Here is a 20,651-nt window from a genome sequence, read left to right as displayed (position 1 = left end):
TCTTTGTAGAGAAAGCCAAAATACCTCCCTGTATGAGAGTGGCTTGATTGAGAAGGGGATCTGAATAAATGGGAGGATTTGAAATATTTATTCAAAATAATCTTTTTGAAAATGAGTGAAAAATACAGGTATGTAGGGGTGAGCAAAACTTCACCCTCCGAAAGTTCACTGAAAATCAACGGAAAAAAGGCAGATTAATAGAAAAGTCAAACTTCATCATAGGTTTATGTGACATGGGAACCTTCACAATGAAGGCCCAGAGGTACAGGGGAAACTGTCCATTTTTATGCTTAGGTTCAACAAAGTACCAACTGCCATGTAGAACTGTGATTGGATAAAAAGGGTGTCATCTAATGCTAATAGACTGGGGAAACATAGCAAGGCCTCTGTGTCTAGACTCTTCTTGGCCTCTGGCAAGATTCTTTCCTTCTGGGTATTCCTTCCTCATTCTAGAGGACCCTCTCTGGAATGAGGGAGGGTCTTATGACCTACAGCCAAACAACGTAAGACATATACTTTCTTATGGCTAGCTTTTACACAGAAAGGAGACGGAAAAGTTACAGTAAGATTTTTAGGTTTTATGGCTGGCTTTGAAGAAAAAGGGGTTCTAGTTTCAGTAACCACCTTGGGGAAGAGGGATTCTAGTTATTATGTGTAGCCTCAATGGAGGATGAGAGGCCAAAGGATAGCAGGAGGTCACTTCTGCTTCTAAGGACTTCGTTTTGGGGTATTATTTTCCAATTCCCAATGCGGAGAAGAGATCTGGGAGGTCTTTAGTACCCAGAATGACATGATTTAGGCTTTTGATGAAAAGTGATAAGGAATAAGAGAATTAGGTGGGGAATGTGGCATTCCGCAAGAGCAGTCCAAATGACTATAACATACCTCTAGTTTCTTACTGTTACAAAGCACTTACTTAACTGCCTCACTTGGGCAGTTACAATGCATTTATATCAGGTATAGCTAAAATGCTTGATTTACTGTTAAGAAACTTGGGGCTTAGAAAGGTGAAATGGCAAGAAATGACCATTTGCTGTCAGTAAATGGTGGACCTAGGTCTCAAACAAGTTTCTTGATTTCTGGAATCATTCTTAACGCTGCTTCAATTCTGTTACATCAACTGGAAAAGGAGTGGTATTTTCCGGTTCCTTTTTAGGCTCATTGAGAAATAAGCAGAATTTATGTATTTCTGTTTCCGGCCCGTTGTGAAGTATCCATTTCACAATGTGTTTGGAATGCAAGAGAAGCAATTAAATGTGATGATTCAATCAATGATCTTCCAGAGTTGCTCTGATTTATATAAATTCATGTTCATATTCATTTGCCACGGAGGACATGCACTTGTTTTCAAGGAAATCTGAACTTGTTTAAATCTTTCTCCATATCTTAAAATTTTGGTAGCAGTTATAATGAATATCTTGAGATTGGTAAAGAAAACTAACAGTGTCTTAGCATGGAAGTTATGAAGGGCATTTTCATATTATCTTAGCTGTTGGAGAGTACTTACGTGTATGGCATAGGTCTGACACAAAGGTAATTTTTAGGATCAACCTGAAGTCACTACTTTAACTGGAGGATGCAGAATTTCATGGTATTGTGGGGAGGCCTCAATCATCCCTGTTAACACAGTCACTAAATCAGGTTGATTTTTAAAGAATCCTCAATAATTCTGACATATTCTCCCGTCTACATTCTCTCTTCATTCTCTCATAGCTGGGATTATTCCAATGCTTACTATTTCCCTAATTTCTCTAGCCTCCAATTTCTAAATTCTTAACTCTTTATTTATTTATTTATTTATTTATTTATTTATTTATTTTATTTTTTGAGACAGAGTCTTGCTCTGTCGCCCAGGCTGGAGTGCAGTGGCTCGATCTCAGCTCACTGCAGCCTCCGCCTTCTGGGTTCCAGTGATTCTCTTGCCTCACTCTCCCGGGTAGCTGGGATTACAGTCACACGCTACCATACCTGGCTAATTTGTTTTTGTATTTTTAGTAGAGAGGGGGTTTCACCATGTTGTTCAGGCTGGTCTCAAACTCCTGATCTCAGGTGATTTGTCCACCTCGGCCTCTCAAAGTGCTAGGATTACAGGTGTCAGCCACCACGCCCGGCCCATTTTCAAAAACAAAAACCAAATATGCCTTATGAAAAAAGTCACTGGCTTCTCATAGGTTCAAGGGAAAGCCCTGTAGCATCTTAGCCCCTTTTCATAATACTCTCTGCTGGCACTCACAGACACTATAACAATGTAATCTTTCTATTTCTTCTTCTTCTTCTTCTTCTTTATTATTATTATTATTATTATTATTTTTTACAACTTTGTTCAGGAACAATTCCCTGTGAGAATCTTTCTAATACTTCCAATTCCTTCTGAAATTACATCTCCATGCAAAAATCCCTCTAATTCAAAACATAAACTTATCTCTGAAAATGTGCTTTCATGACATTTAATAGTTGAGAACAATTATTATCAATAGAAAAATTTTAATGCATCTATTATTTTCTCCCATTAACTAAACTGAACTCTAGAGCATTTGTCTTATTTTCCACTACTCTAGGGGCGTGTGTGTGTGTGTGTGTGTGTGTCTGAATTAAAAAATTCCATCAGTTGGGTTACATTATTGTCAGATACTCATCAAATTCAGTGGTTTCATTTTCTGTTTTCCTGTGTGGGAAAAGAAGAGTAACAAATTTCTCTGCCCCTTTCATGACCCTTGTTTCCATGGCCTGATTTACAGACTACCTTATCTTCGGAAGTATACCATTTTATATATATACAATTTTTAGTGGGGGCAACTACAAAATAAAAACAAAGAAAAAAAATTTCACCGTTGCCTTGCAAACTCCAAAATGTTACATATCAATATTTACTGTTGGCAGGTCGAGTCGGGTGAGTATGGAGAAATAATAAAATGGGATTTCTGAATTGTCTTGAGTTTTAGCTATTATCTTTATAATATGAAGAAGCTATTGGTTATTCAGAGATTACATACTTGTTTTATTTTAATTATAAGTACTTGCAGGCAACTATGTAACTGTGAAATGGATATATACTATATAGTGTACCAACAAGTACATAGAAAGTATGATCTTACAGGGGTCAGATTTGAGATCTTCCCCAAATAAAATCACAATTTATTTTAAAGACATCTGGTATTATTTACTACTATCTCAGTGTATGCCTTTGAAAAAAGTTGCCTGTGTATGTGTGGTTAAATCAAGGCTACTATTTGAATAGTATGCAGAAAGGCTAAAATTTGTCAGTGTTAATGTCATATTTTCCTGTATGTACATCAGTTACATTTCTGTGCAATTTGCAGTACTAATTATAATATAATAGAACTTCACAATCATATAAGACCCTGTAAAGTTCATTTTCTTATTATTAGTATTGTTATTTGAGATGGAGTCTCTCCCTGTCACCCAGGCTACAGTGCAGTGGTGCAATCTCAGCTCACTGCCAGCTCTGCCTCCTAGGTTCAAAGATTCTTCTGCCTCAGCCTCCTGAGTAGCTGGGATTACAGGTGTCTGCCACCATGCCCAGCTAATTTTTGTATTTTTAGTAGAGATGGTGTTTCACCATGTTGGCCAGGCTGGTGTTATTATTTTTTTAAGATGGAATGTTGCTTTGTCACCCAGCCTAGAGTGGAGTGGCATAGTCTCAGTTCACTGCAGCCTCTGCCTCCTAGGTTTAAGTGATTCTCCTTGCCTCAGCATCCCAAGTAGCTGGGATTACAGGCAAGTGCCACCATGCCCGGCTAATTTTTGTATTTTTTTAGTAGAGACGGGGTTTATCCATATTGGCCAAGCTGGTCTTGAACTCCTGATTTTAGGTGATCTGCCTGGCTTGGCCTCCCAAAGTGCTGGGATTACAGGCATGAGCCACCCTGCCTGGCCTAAGACCCTGTAAATTTTAAAACATCCATTTATTTTATTGTGTATGAAAAATTTAAACATGTTAGTAGCTCTTCCAGGTGATAAAGCCCTCAGGAGTAACTGATGAGGATTCTGCTGAGGCTGTTTATTTAAAACAGTAATGCCTAGTGGGGAAAGTTTTGGCTCCAGCACTATCTGAAATTTTCTTAGTTTCAGTTTTTAAATTTGTTTTTGATAATAGATAACTATTGAACTTACATTTTTGGAGGCTTCATAAAATACTGCATGACTTCTGGCCCATTGCAGCCACTCAATAAGTGTGGATTTTTCCTATTTAGAAAAACTATATATTAAAATTATATAAACTTTATCTAATCTTTTATTTTTGTAAATAGGAATGCACTCAATGTTAAATTCTGTTCAGTAATCTTTTATTTTACATCTCAACTTGACTAAATTTCCAGAGGCTTTGTTTTAGGCAAATGACCATGCTAGATGTTCTGGTGGATTTAATGATATAAAAAGATGCATTCTGTGCCCACCAAGTCCAAGTCCTCACGTACTGAATTCCAGTAGCTGTAAGAGAAATACAGGTTAAAACTTGTTGAGCTAGAATCTTAAAGAAAGTACAGGATACAGGAAACAACATTCAAATAGAGAATGCTTCTATCTAGCATAATAGGATGTTCACTATGTTACAAATATCTGACAGTAGTTACCTTAATTATGGATAGTTAGGCTGTTTTCCTCACGCACTGAATCTCCAATTCACAAGACCCACATCTTCATGTCTGACAGGCTTCCATGAACAAAAATTTCTTCCATAAATCTCCAGGACTTCTTACTATGGCTACCTTGGCCTGCAGAGCTATTTACAGCTTTGTCACTATTAATTTTACCACATGACTAACCTCTTTCCTTAGTGCAACTAGTGGGAAAAGAGCACATTCAAAAAAGTTAGTAGAAATTTCTCAATGAGTTAAAAATACTGCACCCCATATCAAAACTGAGGAATTTGCTGAAATGTTTAAATAAACAAAATTCTTCCAAATAGCATGCAGTATCCCATATAGTACATACACCCTTCTGTATTTCCAAATAACAGCCTGTATGATTTCGTAACAGAATTCCTTATTTTCCTTCCCTTCACCTACCAGTTTCGAAGCTGTGCCTTTGTATGGAAAGGAAAGGCAGAATATTTTCTGTAAGAACTTTGAAGCCGTCCAAGGATTTTCATGTTTTGTTGATAAATATGGGGTACTTTTAATGAGATTTGATTAAGACAGGGTATTTACTAAAGTTGAAAAGTTCTTTTAAGATATCAGCCGGAAGGCCGGGCGAGGTGGCTCATGCCTGTAATCCCAGCTACTCGGAAGGCTGAGGCAGGAGAATCGCTTGAACCCGGGAGGCGGAGGTTGCGGTGAGCCGAGATCGCGCCAATGCACTCCAGCCTGGGCAACAAGGGCGAAACTCCGTCTCAAAATAAATAAATAAATAAATAAATAAATAAATAAATAAATAAATAAGAAAAGAAAAAAGCAAACAAAAGATATCAACTGGAAAGTTGAAAAGGCTCATGATTTCTGCATTTTCCTTTCGCACTCAGGTTTGAGACACACCCATCTGCACCTTCGTTGCTTTGACTCCTGCAGTTTAGAACCTATGCAAGGCTGTCAAGTCTGCAAGAGCTGTGTGTTAGTGCCACGGGTCTAGGTGTTCCAGCTAATAACCTTAGCCTTAGACCAGTATCAGGCGCACAGAGAGTAACGTTGACCGCACCCAAGGCACCGACCGTCGCCGGCAAGTAGCTGGGTCTCAAAACACTAGTGGAGTAAGGCAGCCTGATGCAGATCAAAAGCGCTGGCCCCTCGGGCAAGGTCAAATAAACATCAAGGAAAGGCAAAACCAAGGCGTTGAAAGCCTATGCAGTTAAGACCTAAAATGCAGGCCACCACATGAAAGAGCGTTGAGCCAGAAAACAAGAGGATGGGTTAAGCAGGGTACAATTAAGTGGCCAGGAGTTTAGAAAACGAGAACAATGTACAAGAAAGCAGCAGAGGGCCTGAACAGCAAAACAAAGCCAGCTAAACCAATGGAGAACAGCGTAGGGAGGCCCAGCCCTAGGCGAAAACCTGAGGGAGCGCTTAAATTTGGAAATTTAAATGAAGCATCGAGGGAACTGAATGCCACTATTTCAAATGTCTATTTGGATCAGTGCAGTTTAGTGGTCTAATGCGTCTCAAAGGATTACAGCCCTTTTCACGGACAAAGTGGTTGGCTCTGAGAAGAGCCTTTGGATTTAAGGTTTGTACTCAAAACAATTCACGCCCTCTCCCCACGAATGCGGCGGGCAAGCTGGATGTCTTTAGGCATGATGGTCACGCGTTTGGCATGAATAGCGCACAGGTTGGTGTCCTCGAAAAGCCCCACCAAGTAGGCCTCGCAGGCCTCCTGCAGCGCCATCACCGCGGAACTCTGGAAGCGCAGGTCGGTCTTGAAGTCCTGAGCTATTTCTCGCACCAGGCGCTGAAACGGCAGCTTCCGGATTAGAAGCTCGGTAGACTTCTGGTAGCGACGGATCTCGCGCAGAGCCACGGTGCCAGGGCGGTAGCGATGGGGCTTCTTCACGCCGCCCGTGGCCGGAGCGCTCTTGCGAGCTGCCTTAGTGGCCAGCTGTTTGCGCGGTGCTTTACCGCCTGTGGATTTACGAGCCGTCTGCTTAGTACGCGCCATAGTTCATCTGCAAAGTAAATGAGTTAGGAAGATTGGTTTGCCCCTCTATATAGGAACAGAATCACTCTGATTGGATTGTGGACGATCCCTGTTAGTGATCGGTTGCTAAATTCCGGAAGTGGCCGTAGAGATTCACGATTGGTTTATTTTTTCAGTGCAAGATTCTGATTGGTAAATTTGGATAGAGAACTGGCTCTTTCAAACAAGTCGTTTTCCGTTACAGGTTTCTTTGATGTTTCACGTAGACCATGACCTGCAAAGACATTGATCATTTAACTTAATAGACTGATCTGTTATCCTGTTTAGCTATAAAAAATCGAATGTGTTTGCGTTAGAAAGTGCTTTAGAATTTTTTTTCCAAAATCTCCGCTGCTTTTTTCTGCATTTTCCTGAAGTTTTTCCCTTCCTTATTCACTCATTTAAAATCCGTTGCCTAAGTATCTCTCAATGATTCCTCGTTTCATTATAGAGTACAAGGCTAATTCACTCAAACAAGGTTTTCTAAGATACACTGTTAAGCATAAGGAACTTTGTGTTTCATTTGTGTTATAGTAAAATTCTAATATCCTGGAATCCCTACCTCTGTAATATCGGGTTTGACTCAAAGAACTTAACACTATTATTTCGTTTTGTTGAAATTAAAACGTCCAGACATAATGGCAAGAGCCGTCAAAAAAAGTATTTTCAATTTAAAATCTTGAAAAAGATGGCGGCGAAGAGAGTGTTAGAAGGTTGTTTCTCTGTAAGACAACAATGGCGCAGTTTCTCCGGATCCCTGCGGGAGAGAGCTGAGGTGCACCGAACAATTTAAGACACATCCAACAGAACTTTTATAGGAACTGGACTCACCCAAATAACAGGACTTCTTAACTTGGTTTTCGCTTCCACACTCAACAGCTCCCAATTACTTTGAAAAAGTAACAAATGTTTACTGGAAAAGATTCTTAAAGAATGACATTACAGCCTAACACTATTGTGAATTAACCTATCGGATTCCCTGTAAGGTGTTCTTTTCCTAGCCAATAAAAAGAGCAGTTTGGGAATTCCTAATTTACATACTTTTAATCTATTGGCTACTTTGGTTCAGGCAGAGTTTTGATTTACAAGTTCGCGTTTGTGTAAGCGTACTATAAATATTTCAGAGAGGGATAGTGCGCGTGCGTGCCCGTTGCAAGGTCTAGTTTCTTTTTGTTTTTCTTTCCCAGTAGGTTTTCTTTCTCATTGGAAAGCTATTTTGTAAAGTGTAGCAGGTTCGCAATGACGCTGGCATGTAGTCCAAGGCGATTGACATCATGAATATGCTGGAGCCCCCGTCCTCCAGGGAGGGGAAACGGCTAAACCAAATTTATCACTGCCCGCAAATGCCCGCGGATGTCTGCAAGCTGGAGTGGAGAGGAGACAAAGGATGCTTTGTGCATTCCTGCTCATTCCCTGAATTCTGTTAAACCTGCCCTATTTTAGGGCATTCATCAAAATTCTGCTAACCACAGGATTGATACAATTGCACCTTTCAAGTTAGTGTCTATTTTGCAAATTTGAATTATCTTAGGACTCGTGGGCAAGTCTTGACTGAAATTACACATTGTCGTGCGTTTCAATCTCACATCTGAAATATATATGAGTCCCTTGCTTCTCTCCTTTTCAGAAAAAGAAAATTCTGTACACTTTAAATCACGGTAAAACGGTTAGGTATGTTGGCAAAATTGTTTCATAGGAAGCAAGGGAAGAACTGAAATCCTTTTGTATAATATGATTACGTATTTGTGGGCTGGGCCGTTTGTTAATGAGAGCTATGCACCCCCTGTGCTTTTCCTCTCCACACTCCCTACATCTCATCTTCTGAGGCCCAAGACCTGTTTATTGATATTATCTTCTGTTTTCTCATTTTCATTTTAGTTTTTTCATTTCTATTATTAGAATGTTAATATCTACATCTAAAAAATGTTTCCAAAATCAAAAGATAAACTTTAGGTCACAGTCAGTGAGAACCATTAAGGAAATTCCATCTTTATGCCCCATAGTTCTATTTCCTCCCCAGTGTTCTTAAATCTGTCAATCCGGTGTTTTGCCATTGGAACCTACCTTCAGTTCCTTTCATAATCCTCATCTCTAAATATGTGTAAAGCTTTATTTTAGAAGTCAGTGCAAAATTTACATGATTACATAAGAACTTAGCAGCTCACTTGTATTAATCAGTAATTTCCATCACTATTTCCATACCTGAACACAATTTCCCATAGGATCTGTGTTATGTGATAAAACAGTCAGAAACCAGTTGTGGCTACTGAGCATTTGAAATGTGGTTGTTGCTGCTGAGGACTGACTTTCTTTTTTTTTTGAGAAGGAGTCTTGCTCTGTCACTCAGGATGGAGTGCAGTGGGGTGATCTCAGCTCACTGTTAGCTCCACCTCCCGAGTTTAAGCGATTCTCCTGCCTCAGTCTCCAGAGTAGCTGTAGTTACAGGTGCTTGTCACCATGCCCGGCTTATTTTTTTGGGGGGGGTGGGGTGGAGGTATTTTTAGTAGAAACGGGGTTTCATCATGTTGGCTAGGCTGGTCTCGATTTCCTGACCTTAAGTAATCCATCCACCTCGGCCTCCCAAAGTGCTGGGATTATAGCCGTGAGCCACTGTGCCCGGCCTGAATTTTTATTTTACTTTTCATTATTTTAATTCAAAGGCTGATACTTCAGTTATTGGAAAATGTTAGATATGTTTTAAACAATCAGATATATGAATTTTATTTTTCAGCACTGAAATTTATGAAATCAAAATGAAATTCCATTTATTTCCAACAAAAATGTAATATCAAATTGAATAGGATGTCCCTCATATTTAGAAGACTTAAGATTTAAAAAAGAATGTGAAATATTGCATTAATAATGTTTTTATATTGACTATATTTTGAAATAATTATTTTGTATTTTGTTTTAAATACAATAATTATTAAAATTCTTTTACCTGCTTATTAATTTTTAAAATGTGCTTACTGGAAAATTCAAAATTACATATGTGGCTTGCATTATTCTTTTTTATTTTTATTTTTTTTTTGAGGCAGAGTCTTGCTCTGTCACCCAGGCTGCAGTGCAGTGCTGCCGTCTTAGCTTACTGCAACCTCTGCCTCTCCGGTTCCAGCGATTTTCCTGCCTCAGCCTCCTGAGTAGCTGGGATTACAGGCACCAGCCACCACACCCAGGTAGTTTTGGTATTTTTAGTGGAGATGGGGGGAGTTTCACCATTTTGGCCAGGCTGATCTTGAACTCCTGACCTCAGGTGATCCACCTGCCTTGGCCTCCCAAAGTGCTGGGATTACAAGCATGAGCCACCGCATCTGGCCGTGGCTTGCATTATTCTTTGTAGATAGCACTGTTCCAGGATTCTTCATTTCTCTTCTCTGTTTCTTGATTCTTTACCATATCTTGACAGCATAGGCCTTGAAACAATGAGTACATTCAATATATTTCTATGAACCCAGTTATAGCATCTGGACTTTATTTACAATAAATCAATATCTATATTTATATCTACATCTATATGTCTATACAGTTGTGTTAGAGAGCTAAGGGGGCTTGTTAAGCCATTACTCAATGACGCAAGAAGAGGTGGGCAACTAGCAAAATTATTGATGTTTGAATTTTTCCATAGCAAAATATCAGTAAGTGGACAGTATTTGAAATTCTTTTAGCCGGGCACAGTGGCTCAGTCCGATAATGCCAGTGACCCAGGAGGCTGAGTTAGGAGGATTGCTTGAGGCTAGGAATTTGAGGCTGCAGTGAGTCATAATTGTGAGACTGCAACCCAGTCTGGGCAACAGAGCATGACCCAAAAATGAAAAAAAAAAAACAAAACAAAACAACAAAAAAAGAAATGTTATATGAATATTTTCCCCTCGATCATATATTTTTGAGGGACAGCCTCTACAACTGCTAATTCTGGTGTTTAAAAAAAGGGGAAGAGAAATCACTGTGGAAGCACAATGCCATTTCATGAAAAGAAGAAAGTCCGGAAAATAATTTGCTATTCCTGGAAGCTACATAAGCTCCAAGAAAAACTCGGATGAGAACATCAGGTCAATTACTTTGAAGTCTAAAAAGAATAAAAAGTTAAAGTGTTTATTATTATATAGGAGCCAAGGCGAGCTCTGAAGCTTTGCTGTAAGATTAGCTTGCAAAAGGCAGATTAATTGGAGAAAAGTTACACAAATTTATTAACGTCTTCAAGGGAGCCTTTAGGATGAAAACACAAAGATACAGGAAAAATTGTCCAATTCTATGCTTAGGTTCAACAACATATGGACAACCTTGTAGAAATTTGATTGGATAAAAAGGGTATGATGAAACGTTAATAAACCGAGTGGAGAAACCCAGCAAGGCCTGTTTGTCTAGACTCTTCTTGGCCTCTGTCAACTGAAGAATGAGAAGGTTCATACATTTGCAAAGGAGCTTTATTTCTCAAAGAGTTGCAGCCTGCAAGGTGGCCATTCTGACAGGCTGGGAAGGGTAGCTTTGGTTTGCTGAGAGACAGGCACTTGGAGGGAAGCAGGGAGGGATAAAACAGGAATTTTTGAGGATTGGGTTGGAGAAATATACATATTCAACAGGTTATAGGAGGAGCTATGAATATTCATGAAGGACACCCAATCAGATGTGTATTAGGTTTACATGTATGTAAGATATGTCCCATGATCACTTTGGGGTGAAGATTTAACATTTAAATGAGTTATAATTAGGTCCTATATATAAAACTGAAATGTAGGGCAGAAGTCCATGATCTGCATTCTCAGGAGACTGGTCACAACCAGTTGTGGGCCTGCAGTCATTTATCAAGAAACTCTATGGTCCTTAATATCTGTCTTGTCTGGACCACCATGGAGGAGGGTGGAAGAGGCCAGATAAAGTAAGTAAAAGGGCTTTCCGGTGTATTATTCCCTCAAATCGGACTTTGAGAAAATCTAGCAGTGATTAGAAAGGGGAAGAGGGGTAGAAACAAACAGGATGTGCAGCCTCCATCCTGTCATGCCTGGGAACTTAAACTTTTGGGGTCTTTTAGCCAAAGGAGGGTCCATTATTCTGTCAAAGGGGTTTAGAATTTTCATTTCATCCCTCACCTCTTTGAACATGCATTCCTTCCTTCTGGGTATTGGGTATGGGACAGCTCCATCTCTGGAATGGGGTCTTATGACCTGCAATTAAACAAGGTGGATCAAATAATTTCTCTGTGTCCAGTTTTTACACGAAAAGTTGGAAGGGAAGTTAGAGTAATATTTTTAGTTTTTGTGGTTGGCTTTGGGGAAAAAGGATTCTGGTTGTCATAAGCCACCTTGGGAAACCGGAATTCTAGTTTCTATGTCTAGCCTCAGGGGAGAATGGGACTGAGAGACAAGAGGGCAGGAGAAAGTCACAGAAAAATTTTGCTTCTGAGGTTGCTTCTTTGGCCTTCATTTTGGGGTATTGTTTCTGAGCCCCAATTTGATTGAGTAAAGAATGTCAGGGAGTTATACTATGGGGCTTCATAGACATTTATCTTGCAATTGCTATATTTTAATCGTGTTTTAGTGAAAATTTTATTTAAGAAACATTGTAAGACTTGTGAGGAAAAAAGGGAGGGGGAAGAATGTATCCCACTATAAAAAATTTATAGTTTTTACAAAGTTTGCAGGGAAATGTGCTTACATCATCTCACAATTTACCATTGATTAAAGGTATCAAACTATCGAAGTTACTTCTTGGAGGCTTTTGTCTGGTGATGCAAATAATTTCTGTTATTTGTATCACCAGAAATTATTTTTGATGCAAATTATTTGTGATGCCAATAACTTCTGTTCAGTGGAACACATATAACTGCAATTATTTAGAACCCTAGGGGCATTAATTTTTTTAATAATCTCATTCAGCAACCTTGTCCTAACATTTAAGAAAGGGCAGCTTTTCCCTTAAGTAGCTCAGTGACTTCTGGTAGCGATGAATTTCAGCATGATTCAGGGCCTATATCTGAGGGACACCTTCAAGCTGCTGGTGGCCAGAGTGCTCTTGCTGGCTGCCTTGGTGGCCAGCTGCTTAGGAGGCTGTCTGCCACCAGTGGACTTCCGTGTGGTTGGCTTGGTGCAGGCCATGACCTTTCATATCAGATTTACAGATCACTTCTCTTTATAGGGCCTGGTGTGTGATCCAATTAGATTTGAGATTTTTTACAGAGAAATGTGACTGGATTTCTACTAAAGTTGAATAATTAATTGTGCTTTACAGTGTAGTCCATTTATAAATTTAGGTCATAAAACTAAGTTTTTGCTGCTGGGTTTTTTTTGTTTTTTTTTTTTTTTCCTTTCCTAAACAGGATCTTGCTTTGCCCCCCATAGCTCGCTGCAGCTTCGAACTCCTGGGCTCAATCAATCCTTCCCCGCGTAATTCTCCCAAGTATCTAAGATCTCAGACTGAGCCACCAGGCCAGGCTTTTTCTTTTCTTTTCTTTTTTTTTTTTGAGACGACGGAGTCTCGCTCTATTGTCCAGGCTGGAGTGCAATGGCATGATCTTGGCTCACTGCAACCCCCGCCTCCCGGGTTCAAGCGATTCTCCTGCCTCAGCCTCCCGAGTAGCTGGGATTTCAGGAGCCCACCGCCATGCCTGGCTAATTTTTTTGTATGTTTAGTAGAAACAGGGTTTTGCCACGTTGGCCAGGCTGGCCTCGAACTCCTGACCTCAAGTGATCCGCCCATCTCGGCCTCCCAAAGTGCTGGGATTATAGGCATGAGCCACCGGGCAGGGCAGGCTTTTTACTTTTTGTGGAGGTGAGGGGGCTGTCTCGCTTTATTGCCCAGGCTGGTCTTGATCTCCTGGGCTCAAGCGATTCTTCTGCCTTAGTCTTTCAAATTGCTGGGATTACAGGTCTGACCTAGGGCGTCAGGCCGTTACTGCTTAGTTTCGTTTAGTGTTTATTTTAGAATACTGTGTTAATTGCTCCTTTTGAAAAGAGAAATCCAACAAACACAATTCTCACTAGAGGAATGTAGTCTTTTTTTTTTTTTTTTTTTTTGAGACGTAGTCTTGCTCTGTTACCCAGGCTGGAGTGCAATAGCGTGATCTCGGCTCACTGCAGCCTCTGCCTCCCGGAGTCAAGCGATTCTCCTGCCTCAGCCTCCCAAGTTGCTGGGACTACAGATGCACACCACCACGCCCGGCTACTTTTTGTATTTGTTTAGTAGAGACGGGCTTTCATTATGTTGGGCAGGCTGATTTCGAACTCCTGACCCTATGATCCGCCCTCCTTGGCCTCCCAAAGTGTTGGGATTACAGGCATGAGCCACTGAGCCCAGCCGGAATGCAGTCATCTTTAAAACTTAAAAAGCCCGCCCTGAAATGCTAATGGGCAGCTATCCTTCTTTGTTCTCTCGTTTCTGTATTAATATTTCACCCTTTTCTGACAAGTGCACATGAATAAACAGCCTGTGTATTAATGATAAATTTGTATACACAGCATGGACCTATACACAAAATAACGCAGTGAAACCTTGGTGTCACAACCTCGGTTTCTATTCTTGTATACCTTTATAAACGCATTTTTACTGCAAAGAAACACCAGTAAGATAAATTAGTGCATGAAATGTGAGCAAGGATTTCAATAAAGAACTGACCAGTAACGTCAGAAGCGTTCGTTAAAAATTAGGACAGTGAACATTGAGATTTCAGGCATCGTATGTGTATTCCAGCACTTTACAGAAAAGGTGGGTGGCTCTGAAAAGAGCCTTTGGTTTCTGGGACTCGGGATCACTGACGGATTTGACTAGTAATCATTTCACTTGCCCTTGGCCTTATGGTGGCTCTCCGTCTTCTTAGGCAGCAATACGGCCTGGATGTTGGGCAGGACACCGCCCTGCGCGATGGTCACGCGACCTAGAAGCTTATTTAGCTCCTCGTCGTTGCGGATGGCTAGCTGCAGGTGGCGCGGGATGATGCGGGTCTTCTTATTGTCGCGAGCCGCGTTGCCAGCTAGCTCTAAGATCTCGGCCGTCAGATATTCCAGCACCGCTGCCAGGTACACTGGAGCGCCGGCCCCGACTCGTTCGGAGTAGTTGCCTTTGCGGAGGAGGCGGTGCACACGGCCAACTGGAAACTGAAGACCGGCCCTGGAAGAACGCGTTTTAGCTTTTGCCCGAGCTTTGCCGCCTTGCTTTCCACGTCCAGACATAGTGGCTTCCTAACAGCAGAAGAACTAACAATCCACTGAATAAAGAAAAAGAATGGGCTCGATGGAGGAATAAGAAGCTAGTTATAGTCATCGGTAGAATTGTGAAAGGCGCAATTTGATTGGTTAAAATTGTTCTTTGACGAGCCAACCAATTAGAAAGGAAATAAGGTGAAGGCTATTTTACATGTATGCGTCACTAACACATTGCCCAATCAGAGCTGGATATTTTGAATTCTTTATTTGCATGAAAGGCCTATAAAAGGAGAGACTCTAGACACGAGCTTTTATTTAAGTGCGTTCATTCTCACTGCTGTTATTGTTTTCTGACAGCATGCCTGAACCAGCTAAGTCAGCTCCTGCTCCGAAGAAGGGTTCCAAGAAGGCTGTGACCAAGGCGCAGAAGAAGGATGGCAAGAAGCGCAAGCGCAGTCGTAAGGAGAGCTACTCCGTGTATGTGTACAAGGTGCTAAAACAGGTTCACCCCGATACTGGCATCTCATCCAAGGCCATGGGCATCATGAATTCCTTCGTTAACGACATCTTCGAACGCATCGCAGGCGAGGCTTCCCGTCTGGCCCACTACAACAAGCGCTCGACCATTACCTCCAGGGAGATCCAGACCGCCGTGCGTCTGCTGCTTCCCGGAGAGCTGGCCAAGCACGCAGTGTCCGAAGGTACCAAGGCTGTCACCAAGTATACAAGCTCCAAGTAAATGTGTGCTTAGGTGCTTTAAAACTCAAAGGCTCTTTTCAGAGCCACTCAAGTCTCACATAAAGAGCTTTAATATTGAATTTCACCGTTTTCTAGGGAATAATTTTTCCGATTTTGTAATCCCAGCACTTTGGGAGGCCGAGGCGTGCGGATCGAGACCAGTTTGGCTAACGTGGTTAAATCTCGTTTCTACTAAAAATACAAATATTAGCCGGGCGTGGGGCAGTCGCGTGTCATCCCAGAGACTCGGGAGGCTGCCGCAGGAGAATCACTTAAACCCAGCAAGCAAAGGTTGCAGTGAAAAGACATGGCGCTTTTGCATTCTAGCCTGGGCGACAAAGGCGAGGCTTCGTCTCAAAAAAAATTGATCAGGAGATACTCCTGTTCTGTGTTGGCAAGATCCTGTAATCCTAGCACTTTGGGAGGTCGATGCATGAGGCTTTCTTCAGCTCAGGAGTTAACAGATTTGCCTGGGCAACATAGAACTCGTCTCTGCAAAAAAATGAAGCTAACCAGGTGTGACGGCTTGCGTCTGTACTATCATTTACTCGGTAGGCTGAGGTGGTAGGATAGCTTAAACTCTCGGGCTAGAGACTGCAGGAACATGTGAATACGCTAGTGCAATTCCAGCCTGGGCAACACTGGAAAGGGTAGGAAGAGTAGTCTTTGGGTCCCTAAAGATCACCTGATAACAAGTTTGACTTTTCTGAGCACTCTTGTGGAGTTTGTTGTGGAGGGAATACCATGGGCATTGGCAATGTAAAGTTGATCTAAAAAATCTCGTTTTCCGCCGTGCGCGGTGGCTCACGCCTCTAATCCCATCACTTTGGGAGGCCGAGACGGGCGGATCACGAGGTCAGGAGGTCGAGACCATCCTGGCTAACACTGTGAAACCCTGTCTCTACTAAAAAAATACAAACAAAATTAGCCGGGCGTGGTGGCACTCACCTGTAGTTTCAGCTACTCTGGAAGCTGAGGCTGGAGAGTCACTTGAACCCGGGAGGCGGAGGTTGCAGTGATCAGAGATCGCGCCACTGCACTCCATCCTGGGCGAAAGAGCTAGATTCCATCTCATAAAAAAAAAAAAAAAAAAAAAAAAAAAAAAATTACAGTTTTGGCTGGCTGGGCGCAGTGGCTCTCGCCTGTAATCCCAGCATTTTGGGAGGCGAGGCTGGTGGATCACTTGAGGTCAGGAGTTCAAAAACAGCCTGACCCACATGGTGAAACCCCGTATCTACTAAAAATAACAAAATTAGCCGGGCGTGGTGGCGCATGCCTATGTTACCCCAGCTACTTCGGAGACTGAGGCAGGAGAAACGCTTGAAACCGGGAGGCGGGGGTTGCAGTGAGCCAAGATCCCGCCATTTCATTCCAGCCTGGACAACAAGAACGAAACTCCGTCTCAAACATAGAAACCATTAGTTTATACTCATTAATCAAATTTCTAAAATGGGACCAAAAAAAAAAAAAAGGTCACTACTCCATAGTACTCCATGAGCAACCTCAGGTTTCTGACAACATAGTACTCCAAAGTATGGCGCCTTGACATAGTAAATATTCTAAGACATTAGTAGAACAACATAGACAAGAATGTTCGTATGACCTTCCTCTGAAGCAGGTCTTAAGACCCTCCTGGGAGTCTTGCAGAGTATGCGAGGAATCTGAACAAATAAACCTTGCTAGATTTCTCCTTGTTTATTATCCTTAGCTCATATTATTTTTGTCTTGTTATATTTCTGCATGACTCTCTTCATCAAACCTAGTGCAAACACACTCAGGTTTAAGCCCTTCTTCAGGTCCTTATTTCCTTATGTCATGTAAAACTTCATATTAAATGTGAATGTTTTTCTCTTGGCCGGGCGCGGTGGCTCACGCCGGCTCACGCCTGTAATCCCAGCACTTTGGGAGGCCGAGGCGGGCGGATCACGAGGTCAGGAGATCGAGACCATCCTGGCTAACACGGTGAAACCCCGTCTCTACTGAAAATTGAAAAAAATTAGCCGGGTGTGGTGGCGGGCACCTGTAGTCCCAGCTACTCGGGAGACTGCGGCAGGAGAATGCCATGAAGCCGGGAGGTGGAGCTTGCCGTGAGCCAAGATCGGGCAACTGCACTCCAGCATGGGCGACAGAGCAAGACTCCGTCTCAAAAATAAATAAATAAATCAAAATAAAAATAAAGTGTATATTTTTCTGTTGTTAATCTGTATTTTGTTTCAGGGCCCCAGCCAATGAACATAAGATGGGTAAAAGGAAACGCTCTTTCCTCCCCTACAACATACAGTAGGGGTGGGTGTGCATCTGTGTTCTGTGTGTTTGTCTTTGTGGAGTACAAAAGCTAGCATAACATAGAAAAGGTGTGGAGAAAAGTATTCCCAGAATGAAAATGTTTGAGAAGTGTGTTCGCTAGGGCTGCCAAAACAAACTACCAAAGACTGTGTGGCTTAAAAAAATTAATTTTGTCACAATTCTGAAGGCTACAAGTTCAAGATCAAACCAGTGAGCATGATTGATTTTTTCTGGGGCCACTCTCCTTGGGTTTTCCCCTCTCTGGTCTTCCCTGTGTGTGTGTGGGTTGTGTTTTAATATCATCTTATAAGGACAGCAGTCAGAATAGATTAGGACCTACCCTTAAAACCTCATTTTACACCTTTAAAGACCTTATCTCCAAATAGTCACATTTTCAAGTAGTTGGTATTGGACTTCAATGTTTGAATTGTGGGCTGACTTGGATTTCAGTCAGGCAATTCAGTCAATATCAAAAATTATGGTGATTAGGCTTCTAAATAGTACATGAAATAAGTATTTCACAGGCATCTGAAACTCAGCACAACCAAGACAGACCTTATGATACTCTACCTGGCTTCACTTACTCATCCAAGTTTGAAATCTAGTCCCCATTCCAGACTACTCCCTTTTCTTTTCTGCAAATATTTAAAAATATACAAACTCATTGATTTTAACTTCTAATTTTGTTAATATTGTCCATATTTTTGTTTACTGTGGCTAACAACTGGAAATACTAATGTTGAAGAGTTGGACTTTGCCTAAAACTAGGTTTTATCCCTAATGGAATATTATGCAGCTGTTAAAAAGAATGCTTTAAAAAAAACGACATAAAATATGCTCATGGCATTGTATGGGGTAAATCCAAGTTGCCAAGTAGTGTATTCTTATTTACATGATGTCACACACACACACACACACACACACACACACACACATATAGTTTTAGGAAAAAAGAGTGACTATAAGGGTCAATGCCAAGATGTTAACAGTGCTGTTACATTTTTTTTTTTGGTGCAACAGACAGCTCCTCTAAAGATAACTTTCTCTATTTGTCTCTATCCCAAACTATCAATGGTGTGGTTAAGAAATAGGAAACTCGGCCGGGCGCGGTGGCTCACGCCTGTAATCCCAGCACTTTGGGAGGCCGAGGCGGGCGGATCACGAGGTCAGGAGATCGAGACCATCCTGGCTAACACGGTGAAACCCCGTCTCTACTAAAAATACAAAAAATTAGCCGGGCGTTGTAGCGGGCGCCTGTAGTCCCAGCTACTCGGGAGGCTGAGGCAGGAGAATGGCGTGAACCCGGGAGGCGGAGCTTGCAGTGAGCCGAGATCGTGCCACTGCACTCCAGCCTGGGCGACAGAGTGAGACTCCGTCTCAAAAAAAAAAAAAAAAAAAAAAAAAAAAAGAAATAGGAAACTCTCCCTAGGCCCTTTCCTCTCCAAGTCTCCCTGCTGTATGTTAAGAAAAATTAATTTATTCCACAAGTAATTATTGAGCACCAACTACATACCAGCTATTATCCTATGCAATATACAAATGAATAGAGTAAATTTAAGATACGCTGACTAAAGAAATCGAAAATCAAGAGAATAGAATATCCTAGCATAAAAGGAAATAAACCAGGAAAAAATAGACTAAGAAGTATTTGTGAACCACCTAATAATATGTGTGACTCTGAGCACATGTTCATGTTTATGAAATAATGTCCTAATGACCTCAAAGAGGATCAAATGGGAAGGCTAATTTAAAAAGTACAAAATGACTGTAAGGAACAGAGGAACAAGAAGGATTAAGGCCAGAAAGTGACATAATTTATGGTCATGGTTACCTCTGGGGGCAGTAGCAGGAAGATGACAGAAGAGGTCAAAGCAGTTTTTGGTAATATGACAAATATAACAGATATAACAAATATATTTGATTGACAATTGGGTTCAAGCATGGCCATCATATTATTCTTTATAACTTGTATATCGATTTATTACAATTTTAAATGTATCTAGAAGTACAAACAAGAAACAAGAAAAATAATGTACAAACATGTTTGTGGAAAAGTCACTTCAACTTCTATAAAAAGAACTTCTGTAAACTATGAAATATTGCTTATAGCAAAAATTTGGTTATGAAAAAGGAAATCTCCCCTTATACTCCAAAAGTCTGTAGATGCTGAAAAAAGAGTGAGCACTTAACAAAAATCTCTGCTACTATATAAGACTCGATTTTTTTTTCCCTTTTTCCCTTTTTTTTCAGATGGAGTCTCGCTCTGTCGCCCAGGCTGGAGTGCAGTGGTGCAATGTCAGCTCACTGCAACTTCCACTTCCCGGGTTTGAGTGATTCTCCTGCCTCAGCCTTCCAAGTGGCTGGGACTACAGGCCAAATGTGTGCCACCATGCCCGGCTAATTTTCGTATTTTAGTAGAGATGGGCTTTCACCATGTTGGCCAGCCTGATCTTGAACTCCTGACCTCAGGTGATCTGCCTGCCTTGGCCTCCCAAAGTGCTGGGATTACAAGCTTGAGCCACTGCGCCCGGCCTGTGAGACTTGTTTTGTAAGGGATTCTTCTTGAAATATTTTCCTTTTCTGCAAGGGAAAGGAAATACTTCACATGTACGCTGAAGTATTTCATTTTATCATTTGTAAATTCATTTAGATTTGTATTTATTTTATTCATATCCATTCAGGCACTTGTTCAGATAAATTAAACACATAATTTGAATTCAATATACTCAGTGCAAGAAATAGTTTTGTAAAAGATATGAGAATTGTTTTACATAATCAGAACAGTTGAGGGGTCAGGAAAGGGATTTTGCGTGGTTCCCGATGTTCAGAAGAAAGTCTACATTCCTGTCATTGGCCTAACAAGCC

The 20,651-nt window shown here is 41.2% G+C and overlaps 3 protein-coding genes and 1 pseudogene across 4 annotated transcripts, besides 10 other annotated features; 1 reads left to right on the top strand and 3 right to left on the bottom strand.

Annotated features, from left to right (window-relative positions):
• Positions 1 to 4,290: 4,290 nt before the first annotated feature.
• Positions 4,291 to 7,586, bottom strand: H3C6 (H3 clustered histone 6). Of its 2 annotated transcripts, NM_001381999.1 has the most exons (2): positions 7,459 to 7,586; positions 4,291 to 6,862 (listed from the first exon to the last, which is right to left on the bottom strand). In NM_001381999.1, exon 2 carries the CDS (start codon positions 6,607 to 6,609, stop codon positions 6,199 to 6,201), a length of 411 nt encoding a protein of 136 aa, NP_001368928.1. In that variant the 5' UTR covers positions 6,610 to 6,862; positions 7,459 to 7,586; the 3' UTR covers positions 4,291 to 6,198. The 2 variants fall into 2 exon arrangements, with proteins under 2 accessions (NP_001368928.1, NP_003523.1); NM_003532.3 differs by lacking the exon at positions 7,459 to 7,586 and having other exon boundaries at positions 6,148 to 6,629.
• Positions 5,387 to 6,002: an enhancer, noted in NCBI's record as "NANOG-H3K27ac hESC enhancer chr6:26225990-26226605 (GRCh37/hg19 assembly coordinates)". NCBI's record gives its function as "activates a minimal SCP1, AML or CMV promoter by ChIP-STARR-seq in primed H9 embryonic stem cells {active_cell/tissue: H9 hESC(primed)}" and the evidence as "EXISTENCE:reporter gene assay evidence [ECO:0000049][PMID:30033119]".
• Positions 6,003 to 6,619: an enhancer, noted in NCBI's record as "OCT4-NANOG-H3K27ac hESC enhancer chr6:26225373-26225989 (GRCh37/hg19 assembly coordinates)". NCBI's record gives its function as "activates a minimal SCP1, AML or CMV promoter by ChIP-STARR-seq in primed H9 embryonic stem cells {active_cell/tissue: H9 hESC(primed)}" and the evidence as "EXISTENCE:reporter gene assay evidence [ECO:0000049][PMID:30033119]".
• H3C5P (H3 clustered histone 5, pseudogene) lies at positions 12,524 to 12,719 on the bottom strand (annotated as a pseudogene).
• Positions 14,023 to 14,132: an enhancer, noted in NCBI's record as "active region_24215". NCBI's record gives its function as "activates an Ori minimal core promoter by ATAC-STARR-seq in GM12878 lymphoblastoid cells {active_cell/tissue: GM12878}" and the evidence as "EXISTENCE:reporter gene assay evidence [ECO:0000049][PMID:35858748]".
• Positions 14,023 to 15,612: a biological region, named in NCBI's record as "NANOG-H3K27ac-H3K4me1 hESC enhancers GRCh37_chr6:26216641-26217292 and GRCh37_chr6:26217293-26217944".
• Positions 14,048 to 14,699: an enhancer, noted in NCBI's record as "NANOG-H3K27ac-H3K4me1 hESC enhancer chr6:26217293-26217944 (GRCh37/hg19 assembly coordinates)". NCBI's record gives its function as "activates a minimal SCP1, AML or CMV promoter by ChIP-STARR-seq in primed H9 embryonic stem cells {active_cell/tissue: H9 hESC(primed)}" and the evidence as "EXISTENCE:reporter gene assay evidence [ECO:0000049][PMID:30033119]".
• Positions 14,327 to 14,843, bottom strand: H2AC8 (H2A clustered histone 8). Its single transcript, NM_021052.4, has one exon. The coding sequence runs from the start codon at positions 14,787 to 14,789 to the stop codon at positions 14,397 to 14,399; it is 393 nt and encodes a 130-aa protein (NP_066390.1). The 5' UTR covers positions 14,790 to 14,843; the 3' UTR covers positions 14,327 to 14,396.
• Positions 14,413 to 14,832: an enhancer, noted in NCBI's record as "active region_24214". NCBI's record gives its function as "activates an Ori minimal core promoter by ATAC-STARR-seq in GM12878 lymphoblastoid cells {active_cell/tissue: GM12878}" and the evidence as "EXISTENCE:reporter gene assay evidence [ECO:0000049][PMID:35858748]".
• Positions 14,700 to 15,351: an enhancer, noted in NCBI's record as "NANOG-H3K27ac-H3K4me1 hESC enhancer chr6:26216641-26217292 (GRCh37/hg19 assembly coordinates)". NCBI's record gives its function as "activates a minimal SCP1, AML or CMV promoter by ChIP-STARR-seq in naive and primed H9 embryonic stem cells {active_cell/tissue: H9 hESC(naive and primed)}" and the evidence as "EXISTENCE:reporter gene assay evidence [ECO:0000049][PMID:30033119]".
• On the top strand, positions 15,076 to 15,564 carry H2BC8 (H2B clustered histone 8). Its single transcript, NM_003518.4, has one exon. It carries the CDS (start codon positions 15,121 to 15,123, stop codon positions 15,499 to 15,501), a length of 381 nt encoding a protein of 126 aa, NP_003509.1. The 5' UTR covers positions 15,076 to 15,120; the 3' UTR covers positions 15,502 to 15,564.
• Positions 15,263 to 15,612: an enhancer, noted in NCBI's record as "active region_24213". NCBI's record gives its function as "activates an Ori minimal core promoter by ATAC-STARR-seq in GM12878 lymphoblastoid cells {active_cell/tissue: GM12878}" and the evidence as "EXISTENCE:reporter gene assay evidence [ECO:0000049][PMID:35858748]".
• Positions 15,693 to 15,782: an enhancer, noted in NCBI's record as "active region_24212". NCBI's record gives its function as "activates an Ori minimal core promoter by ATAC-STARR-seq in GM12878 lymphoblastoid cells {active_cell/tissue: GM12878}" and the evidence as "EXISTENCE:reporter gene assay evidence [ECO:0000049][PMID:35858748]".
• Positions 15,833 to 15,962: an enhancer, noted in NCBI's record as "active region_24211". NCBI's record gives its function as "activates an Ori minimal core promoter by ATAC-STARR-seq in GM12878 lymphoblastoid cells {active_cell/tissue: GM12878}" and the evidence as "EXISTENCE:reporter gene assay evidence [ECO:0000049][PMID:35858748]".

Source organism: Homo sapiens, chromosome 6, assembly GCF_000001405.40.
Source record: "Homo sapiens chromosome 6, GRCh38.p14 Primary Assembly".
Classification (NCBI taxonomy): Eukaryota; Metazoa; Chordata; class Mammalia; order Primates; family Hominidae; genus Homo; species Homo sapiens.
This window is presented reverse-complemented; position numbering and strand designations above follow the sequence as displayed.